The sequence below is a fragment of the Homo sapiens genome (genome assembly GCF_000001405.40).
Source record: "Homo sapiens chromosome 15 unlocalized genomic scaffold, GRCh38.p14 Primary Assembly HSCHR15_RANDOM_CTG1".
NCBI classification, from domain to species: Eukaryota; Metazoa; Chordata; class Mammalia; order Primates; family Hominidae; genus Homo; species Homo sapiens.
The window spans coordinates 346,370-370,694 of record NT_187382.1 but is presented as its reverse complement, the minus strand read 5'-3'; the positions used below and the strand labels follow the sequence as shown (position 1 = coordinate 370,694).

The window sequence follows — 24,325 nt, the reverse complement described above, 5'->3', positions numbered from 1 at the left end:
ATCTGAAATATTATGATTACTCAGCTCATTTACATATTTTGCTATTATGCTATGTAGTTTTTGACCAGATGGAGGCGATTATTTGTTCCTAAGTAAATAATTGTCCCTTTATTATTGAAAGGAGATGAATATTTTAAAGCAGTAAATACCATTACAAGATCATATGCTTTTTTATTATTATGGGGACATGATGCAATGATTCTGAGTGTCGTCACACAAATCACCCCTTCTTCCTCTGCTTTACTCCATACCCATTCCACCAAAACAGAAGTAGAAAATGGCACTAATCTAGAAAGAATTTGGGTGAATGAGTGTTGATGTCTTGAAAAGACAGACATACATCAGGTATTATGGAATAGAAAGGGTGATTTTACCAGAAAAAAGTGTCAAAGAGATTTTCTTTTGTACCTCAGTGTTCAACATATGACATAAAATTAGAAACTAATGATGTATATACTTTGCATTAAGAACCAAAATCAACCACATTTATTCCTTAGGACAAAAATACAAAGGATTCATCCCTCCACACTCCTTGATGAGTGTCTCTGTCCTCCACCCTTCACAAGTGTCAAGTGGAAAAGAAATATTTTGCTGGAGCATCTCAATCCAATAGTCAGGCAGCCAATCAAACCCCCTACTCCCAAAGCTAGTAATGCTCAGCCACTACTCATCACACACACAAACACACACACACACACACACACACACACACACACACACACACACCACTACACCATGTCACTTCAAGGAAGAACAAGCACCTAGTTTCCCTACATTAACATAACCATTACCTAAAATACCATAAATGACGCAACAATTCTTATTCTGTCCAGCACTTGTCATTTAACACATGTCAAAACAAAGCTATCTACATGTGATATTAAAAAGTCTATTCCTAAATATATAGCTTCTGTGTCACTTCTGTAAACTATTCATTTGTTTATCCCGCAAACATTTAGAGAGTATCTACCATATGCTACCTGCTGAGACACAACAATGAACAAGGAACACTCAATATCTGCCTCATCAAACTTCCATTCTGAAAATATAGACAGACAATAAACAAGTAAACAAATAAAAATAAAATAAAATATAAATAAGTAAAATAAAATAATTGCTACTAGTGCTAAAAGACAAGCAGGAAATAAAAAGGCAATGGTAGAGTAAATAATGATGGGAGTGGTATGTGTGTGATGGAGTATTTTAGAAAAGGTTCTGAGTTGGTGACGTTTTTCTAACTTTGAAAGTTTGAAGAAAAGCATTTTAGGAATAGAGAATAGTAAATGAAAAGGCCTTGTGTCACGAAAGACTTTCTAAGAACTGTAGAAGACCCACAACTGGTAGAAGCATAAGAACAAAATAAAGAGTTAGTCAAAGACCAAGTAATGTAGCCCACAATAATAAAATTGGATTTCCAATTTTCTTTCAATATGTTTTACAATAAAACTCGGTAGAATAGCTTAATACAATTTGCAATTTAGAAATATCACCCTGGCTGCTATGTGAATAAATCAGAGTAAGACAACATTACAAGAATATATATATATATATATATATATATATATATATATATATATATATATGGCTTAAACTAACAATACAGCAATAACTATTTGAAGAGAATAATAATTTGTTTAGAAAATATTTAGGAGATGCAACTCCAGGGTTTATCAATGGATCATATGTTGCTATTGTCATAGTACCAAAGGCAGCTGGAATTTGAACTCCACAATGGCAATTTAAAAATATTGTTTTCCTATCTTCTGTGTCTAAAATGAGGTTCATCCAGCCCATACCACGTCCTTAATAAAATTGGGCTAAATAAACTATACATACTTGGGTATGCACTGTAACACCCCAAGAAAAGCTGGGAATTGTACCAAAAAAACCCAAAGCAAGCAATTATGTTTATGGGAAATTCTTGGGGGAGATAAGCCACTCATGAAGATTGACTTAGGGCATTTTTTTCTAAGGTTGCCATTGAGGAGGGGATGACTATTCCAAATCAGTCCTTACTCTTAGAGCAGTGGTTGGATAAGTTCCTTAAGAAGATTTACTTCATCTTACATCCACCCACCTACTCCTCCTAAGCTTCTGCTCCTCTTTTAACAACATCTAGAAAATTCCCATTCTTAATCTACAGGGATGTAGTACCTAGAGGATGACTATGGAAATACCTAGGAGTACAGGTGCATTCCCTGTCGGTGAGTGAACTGTGAAATCTTCTCAAGAGAAGCAATGCTTTGGGAGAAAACAAGAATCTGCGTGATGTTGAGGTCGTGAGATCTTCCTCTATGACAGTTTCTTCATAGCAAAAGGAGGGATTTTAACTAGAATTTTAAGAAATGTTCTACCTCTAAAATCCTATGATTCCGTTAAAGTAAAAGTAGGTTGAGAGTAAAATTCTCAGAAAGGTAAATTAAGAATGATTTGGGTAGCAATAGGGAGAAACAGTGATATCATCACCATTGTGGATATATACAACACTTAGAAAGAATGAAAATTAATTTTCCTATTTTTAGGATATGGAGCTCACTTATTCTGTGGGATGGTGAGGAAGGAGTATACAGAAGCATCTTCACCATATAGATGGGTATAGGTAGCCAAGGGACCTCGAGTGTCATAAATAAACCAGTAGCAGAAAATATCAAGATGTAGTTATTACATTGATTTTCTGTATGCATTGTTGCCCACAGTAAACTAGGCAAGAAGAAACCATTAGGATAAGAGAAGGGCTGATCTCAATGAGACTATTTTGAAGATCATTTGCTGCTTATTTCTCTTTTAATATACTTTAATATATTATTATATTTAATAATACACTTTAATGTTATTAAATTATATTAAAATATATAGTATATACATTAACATTAAAGTATATTAAAATACTTATTTTATATACAACTATTAATATATTCTTTTAATTTACTTGAATATATTAAAGTATATTAAAATATATTTTATATATAATATAAATTATATATAAATATGTATATATCATATATTTACATATATTACATATTTATATATTATATATATTTGCAGCTTATTTCTCTTTTAATATACTTAGATATGGGGTGTCAGTGCTATCAACTGAAGAATGATGGGGTTCATAAATTTGGAAAGGAGGACCTTTATTTCTCATAGAGTTGTAGCCTGAAGGGTGGCTATTATGACAGGCTGGGAAATATAGCCTCTGGCCAGGAGCCAGAAACAAATATTTCGAGACAGTGACAAAAGGAATATGTACTGAGTGAGGTGGCCAAATACATATGCTCAATAAGCTATAGGAGGAATCTTGAATATTTATGAAAGGACAACCATGCACATGCACAATTGTGCTTCATGCCCCTTCATGAGTAGCATATAGTTGGTCTCTTATCAGGAAGGAATGCTGGTTAATTGCCATGTTAAAACCACAAAAAAAGAGGAACTGCTTCAGTGATTTGTTGATATCAGCAGTGGAGTCTTTCAAAAGAGCTGGTTTCTATTTAGCACTTAGGTAGGAAAGTCTAATGGTAGTTAAGTGAGGGCGGGGATGTAAGAAGGCACCTCTGACCGCCCATCTTGTCATGGATGAAAACTCAGCTTTTAAGGTTACTCTGGGGTGCCCTTGGCCAAGAGAGGGTCCATTCAGTAGCTTGGGGAGCTAAGGGTTTCATTTTTATTTTATTTCTCAGTGCCTTCATTCTAACCACAGCTAAGCACTTACTAGCTGTGTAATCCTGGGCAACTCACTTACCTCTGCCTCAGTGTGCCTCATTAGTGCAATGGAAATAATAACAGTACCTACTTCACAGGTATTGTAGTGATTAATGCATATAATGCTCCCCACATTTTTCCCAGACCCACAGTCCTGTTACATTGTTGATGTATCACTATTTTTAAATCCTTCAGCTATTCTCAGAAGCTTGTTTTCTAAAATGCCTGAAATTTTGTATGAATTTTGTATATATAAGTTCCATAAAAATGTCATATTTTTATGGCTCCCATAATAGTACTGTTTACACCCCCAGTACAAATTTTAACTCATTACATTGTAATTTTTCAGTTTGTATTTTGCAAAATATAACAGGAACTCTGAGCTCCTTGAGGTCATGGAGTATGTCTCATTTATATATCTACTGCCTAAAGTAGTTCCTAGCATGTTATGGTCTTCAATATGTGTTTGTTAAATGGATGGATGGATGGGATGATTACATGGATTTTTTATTGAATAAATAGATCAGTAGACTTTGACAAAAATTAAACACCACAACATCTAATTGTTTTTATTAATTCATTTCTTCTTTCCCTACTCTGCTACATAATTCCTAATTTTGCTTTTTGGAATCCTTTTTGTTAAAATACATATTTCACCCACATTTATTTCAAGTAAGAGTCTCTTTGCTTTTAAGTTTCTTTTTTGCTTTTCTATTTATTTTCAAAGTTTTTGCTACTACTAACACTAATCCCTTTGAAATGAAATATTTCAAGCCTCACCTTTCCCTTCCTCTTCACAGAGATCATCCTGAAGAACTATAAGAAGTAACTACCATGCCTATTCCAAAATTGACCACATAGTTGGAAGTAAAGCTCTCCTCAGCAAATGTAAAAGAACAGAAATTATAACAAACTATCTCTCAGACCACAGTGCAATCAAACTAGAACTCAGGATTAAGAATCTCACTCAAAGCCACTCAACTACATGGAAACTGAACAACCTGCTCCTGAATGACTACTGGGTACATAACGAAATGAAGGCAGAAATAAAGATGTTCTTTGAAACCAACGAGAACAAAGACACAACATACCAGAATCTCTGGGACGCATTCAAAGCAGTGTGTAGAGGGAAATTTATAGCACTAAATGCCCACAAGAGAAAGCAGGAAAGATCCAAAATTGACACCCTAACATCACAATTAAAAGAACTAGAAAAGCAAGAGCAAACACATTCAAAAGCTAGCAGAAGGCAAGAAATAACTAAAATCAGAGCAGAACTGAAGGAAATAGAGACACAAAAAACCCTTCAAAAAATCAACGAATCCAGGAGCTGGTTTTTTGAAAGGATCAACAAAATTGATAGACCGCTAGCAAGACTAATAAAGAAAAAAAGAGAGAAGAATCAAATAGACACAATAAAAAATGATAAAGGGGATATCACCACCGATCCCACAGACATACAAACTACCATCAGAGAATACTACAAACACCTCTACGCAAATAAACTAGAAAATCTAGAAGAAATGGATAAATTCCTCGACACATACACTCTCCCAAGACTAAACCAGGAAGAAGTTGAATCTCTGAATAGACCAACAACAGGAGCTGAAATTGTGGCAATAATCAATAGCTTACCAACCAAAAAGAGTCCAGGACCAGATGGATTCACAGCCGAATTCTACCAGAGGTACAAGGAAGAACTGGTACCATTCCTTCTGAAACTATTCCAATCAATAGAAAAAGAGGGAATCCTTCCTAACTCATTTTATGAGGCCAGCATCATTCTGATACCAAAGCCGGGCAGAGACACAACCAAAAAAGAGAATTTTAGACCAATATCCTTGATGAACATTGAGGCAAAAATCCTCAATAAAATACTGGCAAACCGAATCCAGCAGCACATCAAAAAGCTTATCCACCATGATCAAGGGGGCTTCATCCCTGGGATGCAAGGCTGGTTCAGTATACGCAAATCAATAAATGTAATCCAGCATATAAACAGAACCAAAGACAAAAACCACATGATTATCTCAATAGATGCAGAAAAAGCCTTTGACAAAATTCAACAACCCTTCATGCTAAAAACTCTCAAGAAATTAGGTATTGATGGGACGTATTTCAAAATAATAAGAGCTATCTATGACAAACCCACAGCCAATATCATACTGAATGGGCAAAAACTGGAAGCATTCCCTTTGAAAACTGGCACAAGACAGGGATGCCCTCTCTCACCACTCCTATTCAACATAGTGTTGGAAGTTCTGGCCAGGGCAATTAGGCAAGAGAAGGAAATAAAGGGTATCCAATTAGGAAAAGAGGAAGTCAAATTGTCCCTGTTTGCAGACGACATGATTGTATATCTAGAAAACCCCATTGTCTCAGCCCAAAATCTCCTTAAGCTGATAAGCAACTTCAGCAAAGTCTCAGGATACAAAATCAATGTACAAAAATCACAAGCATTCTTATACACCAACAACAGACAAACAGAGAGCCAAATCATGAGTGAACTCCCATTCACAATTGCTTCAAAGAGAATAAAATACCTAGGAATCCAACTTACAAGGGATGTGAAGGACCTCTTCAAGGAGAACTACAAACCACTGCTCAAGGAAATAAAAGAGGATACAAACAAATGGAAGAACATTTCATGCTCATGGGTAGGAAGAATCAATATCGTGAAAATGGCCATACTGCCCAAGGTAATTTACAGATTCAATGCCATCCCCATCAAGCTACCAATGACTTTCTTCACAGAATTGGAAAAAACTATAAAGTTCATATGGAACCAAAAAAGAGCCCGCATTGCCAAGTCAATCCTAAGCCAAAAGAACAAAGCTGGAGGCATCACACTACCTGACTTCAAACTATGCTACAAGGCTACAGTAACCAAAACAGCATGGTATTGGTACCAAAACAGAGATATAGATCAATGGAACAGAACAGAGCCCTCAGAAATAATGCCGCGTACCTACAACTATCTGATCTTTGACAAACCTGAGAAAAACAAGCAATGGGGAAAGGATTCCCTATTTAATAAATGGTGCTGGGAAAACTGGCTAGCCATATGTAGGAAGCTGAAACTGGATCCCTTCCTTACACCTTATACAAAAATCAATTCAAGATGGATTAAAGATTTAAACGTTAGACCTAAAACCATAAAAACCCTAGAAGAAAACCTAGGCATTACCATTCAGGACATAGGCATGGGCAAGGACTTCATGTCCAAAACACCAAAAGCAATGGCAACAAAAGCCAAAATTGACAAATGGGATCTAATTAAACTAAAGAGCTTCTGCACAGCAAAAGAAACTACCATCAGAATGAACAGGCAACCTACAAAATGGGAGAAAATTTTTGCAACCTACTCATCTGACAAAGGGCTAATATCCAGAATCTACAATGAACTCAAACAAATTTACAAGAAAAAAACAAACAACCCCATCAAAAAGTGGGCGAAGGACATGAACAGACACTTCTCAAAAGAAGACATTTATGCAGCCAAAAAACACATGAAAAAATGCTCATCATCACTGGCCATCAGAGAAATGCAAATCAAAACCACAATGAGATACCATCTCACACCAGTTAGAATGGCAATCATTAAAAAGTCAGGAAACAACAGGTGCTGGAGAGGATGTGGAGAAATAGGAACACTTTTACACTGTTGGTGGGACTGTAAACTAGTTCATCCATTGTGGAAGTCAGTGTGGCGATTCCTCAGGGATCTAGAACTAGAAATACCATTTGACCCAGCCATCCCATTACTGGGTATATACCCAAATGACTATAAATTATGCTGCTATAAAGACACATGCACACGTATGTTTATTGCGGCATTATTCACAATAGCAAAGACTTGGAACCAACCCAAATGTCCAACAATGATAGACTGGATTAAGAAAATGTGGTACATATACACCATAGAATACTATGCAGCCACAAAAAATGATGAGTTCATATCCTTTGTAGGGACATGGATGAAACTGGAAATCATCATTCTCAGTAAACTATCGCAAGAACAAAAAAGCAAACACCGCATATTCTCACTCATAGGTGGGAATTGAACAATGAGATCACATGGACACAGGAAGGGGAATATCACACTCTGGGGACTGTGGTGGGGTGGGGGGAGGGGGGAGGGATAGCACTGGGAGATATACCTAATGCTAGATGACGAGTTAGTGGGTGCAGGGCACCAGCATGGCACATGTATACATATGTAACTAACCTGCACAATGTGCACATGTACCCTAAAACTTAAAGTATAAAAAAATAAAATAAAATAAAAATAAAAAGAAGTAACTAAAGATCTTGGGGTTTTCCTGTCTTTCTTCCAGGAGTAAAAGGATTCAAAATTTTGGACGTTTATTTTAATAATCTGTCACGCTCTGAAGACCCATAAATCAAAACAGCCTTCTCTGAGCTTGCTTAGAAATGATTCATCCTATGAGTATAAAATGATGAAGCTGTCTCTTCAATGCCCTGCTCAACCCTGACTTTAAAATGCTTTAATTATTGAGACCAAGGCTGAAAAGAAACAATTTGTCCACCCACTCCACAGCTAAAACCTACTCTATACTATCATCACAGTTCCCTAAGACATTTCCTTACATGCTGCTTTCTGTTTCTTACCACTGATCTCTGAGCATTTTACATAGTTATTCCCATCATTATTATCTGTCCTACTGTCTCAAAAATAGGATGGTTTATGTAAATGTTATAACAACATTCCACCTACCAATTACTGTGACAGTCTTGGTGCCTTCAGGAACTATGGGGAGGAGGTAGAAGAAGCCTCTTCCACCACCCGCAGTGGAGGACTTTATCCTGGGTACATGTTGGTATGCATCAGTTTCTGCCCTGATGTAACAGTAAACTAACTAGCAGCATGAGCTGTAACTACAAAAATCAATCCTCTGGAGGCCAGGAGAAGCCAGGTAGGAACATAAGCCCTGAGGGAATAATTTAAAAGTTGATTTGCACTTCATCCAAAGAGCACAGAAACACAACTTTTGAGTTTCACAGAAGAAGTAAGAAAAATGGCGAATTTCCCAGGATTAGGGGTGGAAAATGCTACGATGTACAATATGTGCTCTCTAGAGTATGACGTGCATTTTCAATTCTATTGTCCCAGAGGACACAATAAGTTGTGCTGGAACAACTGGTTAACCAGATTTTTTAAAAGAATTATATTTTATAACTTATACTTAACATAAATTGCAAAGGAGTAATTTTTTTAATTACTAGAAACATAGAGAGACTATTTAAATTATTTTGGAATAAATAAAAACTTTTAAGTATATCCTGCCCCTATGAAGGAAAAACAATAAGAAAAGAGTTATAGCATATTTGATAATGAAATTTAAAATTTATCAATGGCAAACACAAATATAGGGGAAAATGTTAGAAATTAAAACAATTTAAAATTACTAGAAAATAAAGACAAATTTAACAGGCAAATAATGAACAGAAAAAAATAAATTGAAATAACTCCATTATATAAGAAGCACTTAAAAATCAGTCATACTATGGCAAAAATAATAATGATAATAATGCAATTTCAAAGTGGGTGAAAAACTTGAAGACATTTCTCAGAGGAAATACACAAATGGCCAACAGGTATAAGCAAATATGTTCAGCATCACTAGTTGTTAAGGAAATGCATATCCAAACACCAATGAGATATTGCCTCATGCCTATTAGCATGGCTATTATCAAAAAACAAAAGAAGTGTTGGCTAGAATTTAGGGAATTGAAACTCCTATACACTTTTGGTGGAAATAGAAAATGGTGCAGTCACTATGAAAAATAATGTGTCAGTTCCTCAAAACATTAAAAACAAAATTATTATATGATTCAGCAATCCCACTTTTAGGAATATGTCCAAAAGAATTGAAATCAGAACCTCAAAGAGATACCTTCACACCCATGTTTACTACAGCATTATTCACAAAAGCCAAGATATGGAAACAGCCTAAAAGTCCATAGACAGATGAACAAAGAAAATGTGTTAGACATCAGCTAGAATGGCAGAGTAGGTGATCTCAGTCTTTATTCCTCCTAAAGGAACAACAACTGGGTAAATATCCACAAATGAAAATATCTAGCAGAGATCAGGAATCTACTTCAGAAGTTAAAACAACAGAGCAGACAGAAAAACTTCAAGAAAAAACACAAAAAAATGGTAGAAAAAACAGTTTCATTTTGCCTGCGTCATCTTCCTCAGGCTGGCAGTGCTCAGTATGGAGAGGTCACTGCTCAGCTTGCAAGTTCCCCTTGCAGAGAAAAGGAGAGTGGAGTGAACCATCTTACCCAGCCTACTGGAGCATTGCCCAAACAACCAGCTTAAGTTTCACCCATCCCAGATTGCTAGGGAGACCAACATAGGAGAGAAATCTGTAAACTGCTGGTAAGAAAGAGAAATGATGAGGTCTATCAGTATCAGTCCTGTGGTAGGAATCAATGCAGTCCCCAGTAGCCTGATCTGAGCGGAATTCTGGTAGCCTTCTATACCAAGGACCTCAACAGCCCTCATGGATGTGACACAGGATTCTTTGAGGGCCACTTTGCCAAGTGGAAATCTCGATGGCCAGCAGAGCCTCTGCTGAGGCTTCACTCAGGCCCTCTGAGCTCGTCCTGCTCATTTGGCCTGGCAGGCTGTGCTCCACTCATGCTCACTCACCCAGATGCCATGACACCCACCGTAGCTCAGTGCTCAGCCCACGGTTGGTTTGGGCATGCTATGACTGACTTCTGCCTTGAGCGCTGGCATCTGGATAAGGGGGATGCAGCAGTGCCCAAAAACTCAGAGATGCCAGCAACTGTGGAGCCCGAAGAGGTGTTACAGCTTTTGCTCTGGGAGTCAAGGTCTGAGCCCCCAGGAAGTGTTACAGCTCTTGTTCGTTCTCACTGCTGGCAGTTTCAGCAAATGGGGATGTGTCACAGCTCATTCAGTCCTGCTGCCCACAGCTCAGCAATTGGGGACTTGTGGCACCCAGCATTTTTTTTTCACTTCTGTAGCTTGGTGAACAGGAGGTGTATCTTACAGCTCTTTTCGCACCCACTGTTCAGTGGATCCTGGATTCTTGTCCTGCAACCAACAGGAATGAAGCATGCAGACACCGCAGAGTGAGCAAGGCTGATGAGATTTTTATTGAGCAGCAGAAAAGCTCTTGACAACAAGAGAGTAGCCAAAGTGGGCAGCCCTCTGTGTAAGAGTGGGGCTGAAAGCAGAGAGCCATCTGTGAGGCTGAGTCTGGGGTTTTTATGGGCTCAGAATGGAGGAATCTGTGCTGATTGGTTCATGGGCAGGCCTGGAAAAAGCACCATTTAATTGACTAAAAGGCACTGAGGAAGTTCTCAGTTGGGTCGTGGACTCCACCTGGAACTGGCGGCTTGGTTTTCAGGCCTCAGGTTGTCTTTGGCTTGAAGGTTGGGATTCACCAGGGACTTATCCCTGTCTGCCTAGGAATCTGTCTGTCTCCTGTCATTATCAGCTGCACATACCACACTGCTTTTACTACCAAGGAACCCACAATTATCATTGCACAAACTATAGTATTTAACTCCACAGAGGACTCCAGCAGGTTTAGTCACTGACAAAATCAACACCCAAAGATCACAAAGAAGCAGGAAAACATGACACCACCAAAGGAACAAAATTAATTTCTAGTAACCAACCCCAAAGAATTGGAGATCTATAAATTGCCTGGAAAAAATCAAAATAATTGCCTAAGGAATCTTGGGGAACTACAAGAGAACACAAATAAATAGTTTAATGAAATCAGGAAGACAATCCAAGAACAAAATGAGAAGCTCAATAAAGAGACAGAAAATATTTTAAAAAGAACCAAACAGAAATGTTGGAGCTGAAAAATACAACAGCTAAACTAAAAAAATGTAATAGAGGCTTGAACATCAGACTAAGTGAAGCAGAATAAAAAAATAAGTGAACTCAAAGACCGAGCATTTTAAATCATCCAGTAAGTGGAGATAAAAGAAAAAAAAGAATAAAACCTACAGAAGCCATGGAATACTATCAAGAGAGCTAACATTAGAATTATAGTAGGTTCAGAAGAAAAATAGAGAGAGCATTAGATAGAAAGCTTATTTAAGGAAATAATCATAGGAAACTTAGCAAATGTCAGGAAAGAAATGAGCATCCAGATGCATGAAGCCTAAAGTTCTCCAGTCAATTCAACCAAAAAAAGAATCCACAAACATACATTATCATCAACCTGGCAAAAATCAAAAACAAAGAGAGAAGCTTGTAAGCAGCAAGAGAAAAGAATCATGTCATATAAAAAAGGACCCAAATAAAGCTATCAGTGGATTTCTCAGCAGGAACCTTGAGGATCAGGAGAGAATGAAATAATATATTCAAAGCAATGGAAGAAAAATAAAACTGCCAACCAGCAATATTTTGCCAGCAAAGCTGTCCTTCAGAAATGAAGAAGATAAAGACTTTTTTAGAAAAAAAAAAAGAAAAGTTGAGTGAGTCTTCACTATTGCTTGCCTTACAAGAAATGCTAAAGGGGGATTTTTAAGATTAAATAAAAGGCAGCTAATTAGTAACATTAAAACATATAAAAATATAAAACTAACTGGTAAAGTATATATATGGTTAAATTTAGAATATTCAAGCACCATAATGGTGGTGGTGTAAATCACAACATCATTATAAAGTTATAAGATGAATGTATGAAAAATGACTATAGCTATAATAAATTCTTAAGACATATAAAAAATGTAAACTGTAACATCAAAAGCACAATGTAAGAGAAGGGAAGTAAAAGTACAGAGCTTCTTTAGCAATCAAAGTGAAGATGTTATCGTCTTTAAGTGAATTGGTAAAACAATAAGAATATTTATGTAAGCCTCATGGCAACCACAAATTAAAAACCTATAGTAAATACACAAAAGATAAACAGAAAAGAATCAAAGCATACCACCGAGGAAAATGATCAAATCACAAAGGAAAACAACAAAGGAGTAATAAAGGAATAAAGGACCTACAAAGCAACCAGAAAACAATAAATTGACAATAATAAATCTTTACTTACCAACTATAAATAAGCAAATTTTGTCAATCAAAAGACAAAAAGTGGCTGAATTGATTTATAAAAATAAGATCCAACTAAATGCTGCCTACAAGAAACTCACTTCACCTTTAATAACACACATAGACTAAAAGTAAAGGGATAAAAAACAAAAATATTCCATGAAAATGAAAACCAAAAAAGAGCAGTAGCAGTTACATGTGTATCACACAAAATAGACTTTAAATACTGTCACAAGAGACAAAGAAGGTCATTAGATATTGGTAAGAAAGTCAATTCATCAAGATAATAGAACAGTTATAAATATGAATACACCCAACATCAGAGCACCTAAATATATAAAGCAAATATTAACAAATCTAAAGCAAGAGATAGACTGCAATGCAATATTAATAGAGAACTTTAATATCTGATTTTCAACAATGGATAAATCATCCAGAAAGAATATTATTAAGAAAACATTGTCTTGAACTACTTCAGACTAAATGAATCTAATAGACATACACGGAATATTTGATCCAACAGCAGAACACACATTCTTCTCAAGCTTACACAGAATATTCTCCTGGACAGATTGTATGTTAAGCCACAAACAAGTCTTAACAAATTTCAGAAGACTGAAATCATATCAAATATATTTTCTGACCATAGTGGTATGAAACTAAAATCAATAATAACAGGAAAACTGGAAAATTCATGTACATATGGAAATTAAACAACCACCAATGGGCCAAAAAAAGAAGTCAAAAGGTAAATGTAAAAATATCTTGAGACACATGAAAATGGACATGACATACAAAAAGGTATGGGATGCAGCAAAAGTAGTTTTAAGGGAGAAATGTATAGTAATAAATGTTTACAAAAAAAAGACGAAAGGTCTCAAATTAACAACCTAACATTACAGCTCAATGAACTAAAAAAAGAACAAACTAAGCCTAAAGTTAGAAAAAAAGGACATAACAAAGATTAGAAAAGAAATCAATGAAAGTGAGACTAGAGAAACAGTAGAAAAGATCATGAAACTAAGATTGATTTTTGGAAATATAAGTAAAATCAACAATACTTGATCTACACTGAGAAAAAATAGACTTAAATAAATAAAAGCCAAAATGAAAAAGGAAACATTACAACTGATGCTACAAAAAATATAAAGAATCATAAGATAATACTATGAACCATTACAAGTCAAAAGATTGGATAGCCTAGAAGAAATGGATAAATTCCTAGACACATACAGCCTACAAGACTGAATCATGAAGAGCTAGAAAATCTTAACAGTAATGAGTAAGGAGATTGAATCAATAATAAAATCTCCTATCAAAGAAAATCCTAGGACCTGATGGCTTCATAGTTGAATTCTACCAAATATTTTGAAAAGAACTAATACCTATCCTTCTAAAATCCTTCCAAAAAGTTGAAGAGGAGGGGATATTTTAAAACTCATTTTACAATGCCAACGCTGCCTTCATACCAAACCCAGATAAGGACACCAACAAGAAATATAGATTATAGGCCAATGTCCCTTGTGAACAAAGGTCCAACAATCCTCAACAAACTACTGGCAAACCAAATATACCAGGACATTAAAAAGATTTTGCATCACGACAAAGTAGGATTTATTCCTGGGATGTAAGAATTATCCAACATACACAATCAACAAATGTGCTACACCACATTAACAGAATAAGAAATAAAAACCATGAGATCATCTAAACAAATGCAGAAAAATCATTTGACAAAATTCAACATTCTTTCACAATACAAAATTTTCAACAAATTATAGGAATGTACCTCAACACAATAAAGCCTGTATATCACAAGCCTATGATAAACATTATACTCGATGAGAAATTGAAATGTTTCCCTCTAAGATCAAGAACAAGACCACTCTCCCCACTTCCATTCAACATAGTACTGGACGTCATAACCAAAGTAATTAGGAAAAAGAAATAAAGTGCATCCAAATAAAAAAGTTAGTGTCTCTGTTAGAAGATGGCATGATCCTATGTAGAAAGAATCCTGAAGACTCCACTAAAAAACTGTTAGAACTAATAAGCAAATTCAGTAATTTTGCAGACTACAAAATCAACAGAAAAATTCAGTTGCATTTCTTTACACCAATAATGATCTATAGAAAGAAAAAGTCAAGAAAAAGTTATCATTATGAGCACATCAAAAAGAATAAAATACTTACAAATAAATTTAACTAAAGAGGTAGAATATCTGTACACTGAAAAGTATAAAAGATTAATGAAATAAATTGTGGAAGACAAAAATAAGTGAAACATATCCCATATTCATGAACTGGAAGAATTAATATTGTTAAAAAGTCCATACTACTGAAAATGATCTGTACATTCAACGCAATCCCGATCAAAATGGCAATGAACATTTTTCACAGCAATGGAAAAAATAATTCTGAAATTCATATGCAACCATAAAAGAGCATGAAAAGCTTAAGCAATCTTGAGTATAAGTTCAAAGCTAGAGGTATTAAACTTCCTGATTTCAACTCCATTACAAAACTGTAATAATCAAAACAGATGTTGCTGGCATAAAAACATGTATACCAATAAAACAGAATAGAAAGCTCAGAACTAAACTCACATACCTACAGTCAGCTAATTTTTTCAACTAAGGTACCAAGAATATACAATGTAAAGGACAGACTCGTCTATAAATGATGTTGGGAAATTGGATATCCACATGCAAAGAATCCGTGCTTCTCTTATTCCAATCACAAAAGTTAATTCAAAGTGGATTATAGACTTAACATAAGACCCGGCCCCATAAACTCCTAGGAGGAAACATGGGGAAAAGTTCCTGGACATTGGTCTCATCTTTATTTGTTTGATGAAAGAGAAATCTACAGAAAGGGAGAAAATATTTGTATACCACACATCCAATAAGGAGTTAATATCCAAAATATATACAGAACTTATACTACCAAATAGCAAACAAACAAGCTTCTAAATGGGCAAAAGATATTTTTAAAATGATTTCATAAAATGGGCAAAGGATCTGAATAGATATTTTTCCAAAGAAGATACACAAATGGCCAACAGGTATATGGAAAAAATGCTCAAAATCAGAAATCATCAAGGCAAATCAAAACCTCACTGAGATATCACCAACCACCTGTTAGATTGCCTTTTATCAAAAAGTCCAGTGATAGCATGTGTTGGCAAGGATGTAAAGGAAACCTGATATGGTTTGGCTGTGTCCCCACCCAAATCCCATCTTGAATTATAGTTCCCGTAGTCCTCACATGTCATGGGAGAGACCCAGTGAAAGGTAATTGAATCATGGGGGCAGTTTTCTCATGCTATTCTTGTGATAGTGAGTAAGTTCTTACAAGATCTGATGACTTTACCTGGGGCTTTATCCTTTACTCAGTTCTCAGTCTTCTCTCTCTTGCCACCATGTGAAGAAAGACATGTTTGCTTCCTCTTCCACCATGACTGTGACTATAAGTTTCCTGAGGCCTTCCCAGCCATGCTGAAATGTGGGTCAGTTAAACCTCTTTCCTATATAAATTACCTAGTCTCAGATATGTCTTTATTAGCAGTGTGAGAACGGACTAATACAAAACCCTTGTAAACTTTTGGTAGAGATATAAATTAGTGCAACCATTATTGAAGACAGTATGTAGGCTCCTCAAAAAAAAAATAAACTTCTCATATAATAACAGCAATCCCACTTCTAGGTATGTATGCAAAAGAAATAAAACCACTATCTTAAAGAGATATCTGCACTCTCAAATTCACTGCAGCATTGTAACACTAGCCAAGATATAGAAACAAACTAAGTGTTCATCTACAGATGCATAGATTTTTTTAATGTGGTACAAACACACACAATGGATTATTCAGCCTTAAAAAGAAGGAAATCCTGCCATTTGCCACATGGATAAACCTGGAGGACATTATGCTAAGTGCAATAAGCCAGATACATAACGACAAATACTACATGATATCCCATACAGGTGCAATATTTTAAAAAATCAAACTCATAGCAATGGACAGTAGAGTGGTGGTTAGCAGGGGCTGGGAAATGCCAGGAAAAAGATGTTGGTCAAAGGGTACAAACTTTCAGCTACAAGATGAGTAAGTACTGGAGACCAAATGTACAGTAGCTTCAAATTTGCTAAGAAAGTAGATCTCAAGTGTTAACACACACACATACACACATTATACACAAATGGTAATGATGTAACATGATGAATATATTAATTAGCTTGGTTGTGGTAATCATTTCGTAAGTATGCATATACCCTAAATATATGCAAATTTTATTTGTAAATCATACCTCAATAAAGCCTGAGAAAATTGTAGTATATATATGCAATGGAGTATTATTCAGCCTTTAAAAAGCAACTTACAGAAGGACAAATACTGCATGATCTCACTTATGTGTGGAATCTAAAATACTCAAACTGAAGGTAGGATGGCGGTTGCCAAGAGTGGAAAGGAAAGGGAGAAATGAGGAGATAATGGACTAAAGGTTACAAAGTTTCAGTTATGCAAAAATGAGTGAGTTCTGGAGAGTTAATGCACAACATGGTGTCTGTATTACAATGCAATACTGTATTGGACAACTGAAATGTACTAAGGGAGTAGATCTTAAGGGTTCACACCACACACAGAAAAACATAACCCTGTGAGGTAATGGATATGTTAATTATCTTAAGTGTGATGATCATTTCACAGTGTACACGTAGTTCAAAACATCAAGTTGCACATTTAAATATGTATGATTCTTATTTGTCAAATATACTTCAATAAAACTGGAAAAGGGGAATGAAGGAGAATAAGCTAGACCATGTGGCCACATGCTGGTTGACCTCCCACTGAAGGTCATTCCTCCTTTCAAATGGCTATCATAAATATCTCTTTTTGGGGTTTCTGTATTTCCTCCCTCTCTCAGTCCCTTCAGGCACAATGGTGTAAACAGCTCCACCCCATCTTACCCCTGGCCTGTGTGGTACTCTATACCTATAAATTCATAGACAGCATCTCGTTAAATAAATGTTTATCAAATTATCCTATATTAAGTGTGTCATTAACTTCCTGTTGGAACTCTAAATGATATAATTTTCTATAAATGTATCCTTCCTTGAGTGTATCAACTTGTTTCATCTTATTGACTGTACCTTTACAACTAAGATGCTTCAATATATTAGATAATATAAATTTTCACCCTCTCCTTTCTGTTTTATGAACCTGGAGGGCTTCCATCTTCTGCTTTCATCCATTTCTGTTGTCTCCTATGCCTACTGTACATCTGTCATCTTAAAAGTGCCTTTTGATCCCTTCGTAGTTCATAAGCGTGATGACTGAGTTTTTGCACTCCTGTGTGAAATGTACCTCCCTCAAACCTTATGACATATATACATTACCTGACTCACATGAAGAAAGAAAAAAGAGATTGGGATTTTTTTTAAAGTGGCTTTAGCCACCCTGCATTGCATATATTAGTTTATTGATCTCATTTCTTCCTCTTGTTTTGCTGGGATATATTATCCCACACTTTCAAAAAAAGAGAGTACTTATGAAGTAAACTTTATAAATTTTTGTATGATTAAATATGCTTTATTCTATCTTCCTGATAGATTTGTTCTGTATAGAATTCTAGCCTGAAAATCAGTGTGAGAAACTTTTCCACTGTATTCTAAGGATGAGCTTGCTACAGAGCATACTCATGCCATTTGAATTTCTGTTCATTCGTGAGCTATATGGTTTTTTCTTAATAATTTTACAATATTTTCAATCGTTAAGGTGATAAAATTTCATAATAACGTGCCTTGGGATTTTTTTTAAATCTTGTGGTGGGCATTCAGTAAATCTTTCATATCGAGAAAATTAAGCTTTTCTGTTCTAAGAAATTTATTTTCATTGTTTCTTTTAAATCCATCCTTCTGTTTAATTTGTCCTCCTGGAATATGTGTGAGTTGAATGGTTTGCCCCTAACTTGATTCCTTGTGTTTCTTGTTTTTATCTTTCATGTTTTCTATTTCTTTGACATTTTCATTCTACTTTCATAGAGACTGTACTTTTATGACTTCTTTGACTACTTGTTTTATTTCTTTTAATGCCATATTAATTTTGTTTATTGTTCTTTTTGATTTTACCTTCCAAAAATAATTTTTCTATATTTTTTCAGTACATCATATTCTTATTTCAAGATTACAAATATTTTCTTTCATTGATGAGAAGATACAGTTTTTTACAGTCCCCCCCCCCCCCCCCACGAATTACCTCTAATTCCACCAGTTTCCTTTTGGCTTTTTTAAAGACTTACTTTTTTCTTTTTTTCAAAAGCCTTATGTAAATTTTAGATTGATCTCTTAAGCCAGCTTACTAACTGGCAGACTTCTGGTCAGGGTTCCAGTAGAAAGGTAGCCATTTCATTTGTAATCTCCAAAGGCAGATGTGACATTAACATTCAGTTTCTTAAACAAAGGTGCCAATGTTCTGTCTGTGACTCAGATGCTACCGTTAGCATCTGGGAGCAGAAAGAGAGGATAGAAGATTGAACTGTTCCTTTCTCTTAATCTTCATTAGCAGCCCTGAACCTCACCTCCCGCTGACCTGGCATCCTGCATCCCAATCATCGTAGGGATTCCAGGAAATGAATCTCTCCCCTTTTCCTCACTATTCCTCTTGTTGGGAGTTTAGACTTAGCCTTCCCGACCCTGCCAAATCAGTTACTACTTTTTTGTCTTACCTCTTCCAAACTTTTGTTGAAATCTCTTCTCTGCATCTAACTCCTGTCCTGTTTCTTTGTTCCTGTGGGTCTCAGCCATTTTTTTCTTACTGCAAGTGTTGTTATTTTTATTATTAATACTTTGCTCTTAGGAGGGAAAAGGAAACCTAATGTATTCTATCATTTTTAATATAATTTGTGGGTTTGTTGTCTATCTTAAAAAATCAGGAGTTTAAAAAAAGGATAGAATGACCCTTTTGCAAAGGGAAAGTAATATGAAAATAACTATAAGGACATGCAATAACTATAAAGAAATTTTAATAATCAAAATGTTAATGGTGATCATGTATGAGAGGGCTGGAGTAGACAAACCATTTTAAAGACTTTTCAAAAGTCCCACCAACCAACTACTATTAACATCAGATTGTCCACTGGGCTTCAAAAGGAATATCTTTTTCTTATAAGGTCATTCTAAATTATTGAATTGAATTTTAAAAGAGCCTGAGGCAAGTCAATGCAATATTTTAGTTGGGCCACCATGAATAATGTCAGGTCCCCATTACTAAGGAAAAAAATAGAAATTGGAGTTACAATCAACAGATTTTGACAAGTACCTACTGTGCAAGCCCCTCTAGTCCATACATGAAGAGTAGAAAAGAATATACATCATTTGTATTCTTCATAAGTTGTAGATCTCAGATAAAAATCCACTAAAAAAGAGAAAAAGGTAAGTGATATTTTATAAATTGCATACAGGATTGCTTAAGGCATATAGAAAATAAATGTTGAACAAAAATAATCAGGGCAGAATTCTTGAACAACATCAGTCATGAGACAAGATCTAAGAAAATTTCTTAGAAGAAAAATGCCTTTTCCAGAATACTGAGAATACTTAACTATTTTTCAACTTTACTAAGAATACCACAAGAAGAAAATGTGCTTATTCCATTTTGTTGTTTTAAGGAACTGAAGACAAGTTCAACTAAAAATTTATAATAGAATTACATCTCCTTAGTCATTTCAATGGTACAAATACCAACTCATTTTAGTTGCTTTAATCTAGTCTGTTTTTATTGGCAAAAAAGTAAGATTTCTTTCAGTAAAGATAGTATTATAGTAATGGGTAGAAGAGTATTCAAATTCTCCAAGAGGGTCTTTGAAGAAATTGCTGTCCACCTCAAAATATGTAAAGTTCTATTTTTTTTTTTCCTGCACAGAAACCATCCTTTGGGCAATTTGTTGATTTATACTAACCCTCTTCATTATAGGAAGTATGTATTTCTATGTCTGCATTTGTTGTATTGTATTGTAATTATCTCCTTGCAAATCTGTTTCCCTGACTAGATTTTGCAATATGTATAAGAAAAGACTAGAGAAGGACGAAAAAGAAAACAAAAGAAGGAGGGAAAAGGTGCAGCTTCTGGTAAATTAGACCTCTTTTTTGAAGAGACATGATATGGTGAGAAGATATGATCAGGGATATCTTTCTCTTATAACCCCACTCTAAATTACTGAATGGTAGCTTAAGAGAGTTTGATGTGAATAGAAGGGATTTAACGAGGTTAAATGAGATATTGAGTAGGAGTGTTAACTCTTGTACTCTAGAAGAGAGAATAAACCTTGCCAAGTATGGAAAGGTTTAAGTTTAGCCCGTCTAAAATAGCCTCAAATTATTTCCTGTTAGACAAAATATAAAAGCTGCATTTTAGGAACTGTTTTTTTAATTATTAGTAAATTAGGGATCATTGAAGGTATCCACTAATTCAGTGATTTTGCAATTCTGACAAACTATCCTCTCTGCTTTTCCTTCAAGGAGATCTTGCTACTCCATAGCCACCTCATGGCATTCTTTACTCCTCATTCCTCAGAGTATAGATGAGTGGGTTCAGCATTGGGGTGATGGTGGTATAGAACACAGACACAGCTTTATCCAATGGGAAAGTAGTGGATGGAGATAAATAAAGATACACGGAACAAAGAAGAAAGTTACTATAGTCAGATGAGATCCACAGGTAGAGAGAACTTTGTGTCAGCTCTCTGCAGACTGTTTTTGAAGACTAAACAGAATGACTGTGTAGGAGGCCAAAAGAATGAGGAAACACCCCAGGGAGATGAGACCACTGTTGGCAACCACCAACATATTTACCAGAGTTGTATCAGCACAGGCAAGTTTTAGGACTGGGTGGACATCACAAAAGTAATGGTCTATAACCTGAGCATTACAGAAGGGCAGCTGGAAGGTCAGGAGGGTCTGAACAAAGGAATGACCCAGGGCCCCCAACCAGGACAGTGATGCCAGCACAGTATAAGCATTAGCACTCATGATGACAGTGTAACGGAGGGATTGGCAGATAGCAGCATAGCGATCAAAAGCCATGACAGTCAAAACAAAAATCTCAGCACAACCAAAAAAGTGGAAGGTAAACATCTGAGTTATACAGCCCCAGTAGGAAATAGTCTTTTTCTCAGAAACAAAGTCTTCAATCATCTTGGGTGCTGTGGCTGAGGAATAGGCAATGTCCACAAAAGACAGGTTACTGAGGAAGAAATACATGGGTGTGTGTAGTCGGGAGTCAGAAAAGACCATAAGCAAAATGAGCAAATTTCCCACCATGATCACGACGTAGAAGAGGAGAAATAAGACAAAGAACATCAATTGCATTCCAGAATCTTGGGAAAGTCCCAGGAATATAAACTCAGTGACATTGTTGGCCACTTTCATGGGGCCCCAGGCAGGACTCGTGGAGTGACTCTGGTTCTCTGCAAAAATAAACACGTTATAAACCATGGTAAGCATAGTAAAGCCTATCAGTAAGAGTCTTGTGAAAACACCTATATGATGTTAAATATGGTAGAGGAAGTTCTTCATATTTCTTGAACATAGTTCATGAATATTTTTCTTGTCTTTAGCTTGATTTCCACACTATTGACTCACATTTGAATTTCTTTCATAATTAGTCTTATAGTTCCTCTTTTCCATACAAGAACCTAGAGAATCTGAGTCTTTTTTATTGAATTTAATGTTTTTCCCTAATCAGTGCTCTCTCTCCCCCCACCTCCAACTTCTCTTGTCAGAAATTTACTTTGGAGTGAGAACTTTGTTTAAATAAATTAATTAATTTTTTGAGGCTGTAAATAAAAGCATGAAGTCAGAGTATAAGATCTGATGTATAAAATTTCAGAATCCTTCAAATATAATGTATGCTACTCACCTATAGAAAAGTAACATTTTATTTAATCAAGAGAGGAAGACTCAGTTTCCAATTTCTCAATTAGATTAAAAGTCTCAATTCAATTAAAAATTAAGTCATTTTTAGCGCTTATAAATCAACATTGAGGAAATTTGAATCATAAGCCTGGACCTGCAGTTTGAAAATTCCATTTTGCTTGCCAGTAAGGAATACATGAGAAGTGATCAACTTATACAGAGAAATACTTTTTTCTATGTTGCTCTGAAGAGTTGAAACATTTTAAAGTTACTGAGTTCCCTATCATCCTCAATCCCTTTGCAGGTCCCTGTCATCCTCAATCCCTTTGCCTTGAAAAAGACCCAGATAACTCTCTGTCCTTGTGATCACAGGAAAAATTAGGAATGAAATTTATCATACAGATAATGTTATAAATGATAGTTTAAAAATAAGTGTCTGAAGCCATTTTATAAACTGTAATAGGAATCCTTGCATCATACAGAGAAAAATAATGGATAAAAATAATCAGGAAAAAATTCTTAAAGGAGATTAATATTAGACAAGATCTGAAGTTTCTTGAAATAAAAATGGCTTTTCTGAAATATGAAAATTACTAGCTATTTTCCGTCTTTACTCAGAATACCTCTTTTCTGCATGGAGAGCAGAAAGAGCACTGCCCAGAAGCTGAGTGGTGTAAGTTTGAGTGCCCTCATCAGCTTTATAACTTTGGGTAAATCTATTTATCTTCCCTGGATCTCAGTTTTCTCACCTATAGAAGACGAATGATAAAATTTTTTACCTCACAAAGCTGTTTCAGAATTCAAATGAGATCTATAGAACATGTTTTGAATTTATGAGGTGTTTCCTTTTAATTAGAATCTATCAAGTGGAATCTCTCTAGTAAGCATAATTTGTAATTTGGTGTATTTAGTTATTATATAAAAGCTATATAATGTAACTACTAGAAAATATTAAAAACATATACAATTTTATTTCTGAGATAATAGCTATAATATCTGCCAATCTCCATTAAAGAAATATCATTAATAGAAGCTAACATTTACTGAGCATTTTACCATGTGCAGAATCGTGTGCTAAACTCTGCATATGTTATTTAATTCCATCCTCACAAAAATATAATAATTTTTATTATCTCCTTTTTACAGAGTAGCACTAAAGATTAAAGAGGCAAATTGCCCAATATAATTTTCCGTGAAAGGACTGGTATAATTGTGGTATTCTTTCTCCAGAACACACATAACTGACATATCCTTAAATAAATCATAGGTAGATAGAAAGATTAGATAGATAAATTTCTCATAAACAGAACTGAACTTATTCTTTATTTTATTTTTTAATTACTATTATTTTTTGGAGAGGAAGTGTCACTGTGTCACCCAGGCTGGAGTGCAACAGCGTGATCTCGGCCCACTGCAATCTCCGCCTCCTGGGTTCAAGTGATTCTCCTGCCTCAGCCTCCCAAGTAGCTGGGATTACTGTCACCTGCCACCACAAAAAGAATTGAATTTAAACAATTGCTTCCTTATCGTGCAAAGTCCTTCAATTGGAGAATATGTTTCACATTCCTAAAATCTTTAAATAATCGGCGTCCTATACCAGCAAAGTCAAATTGCGCTCAGTCATCACCAGTTGGCAAAATCATAAGGGCTG

The 24,325-nt window shown here is 35.4% G+C and overlaps 1 non-coding gene and 2 pseudogenes across 1 annotated transcript; 1 reads left to right on the top strand and 2 right to left on the bottom strand.

Annotated features, from left to right (window-relative positions):
- LOC105379529 (olfactory receptor 4N2-like) overlaps positions 1-19,141 on the bottom strand; it is a 67,679-nt pseudogene extending 48,538 nt beyond the window's left edge.
- On the top strand, positions 18,069-18,169 carry LOC124905328 (small nucleolar RNA U13). Its single transcript, XR_007068543.1, has one exon. It is a non-coding gene; the product is annotated as a small nucleolar RNA U13 (small nucleolar RNA).
- Positions 19,142-21,316: 2,175 nt separating the features above from the next.
- LOC102723632 (olfactory receptor 4S2-like) lies at positions 21,317-22,254 on the bottom strand (annotated as a pseudogene).
- Between the last annotated feature and the right edge of the window lie 2,071 nt (positions 22,255-24,325).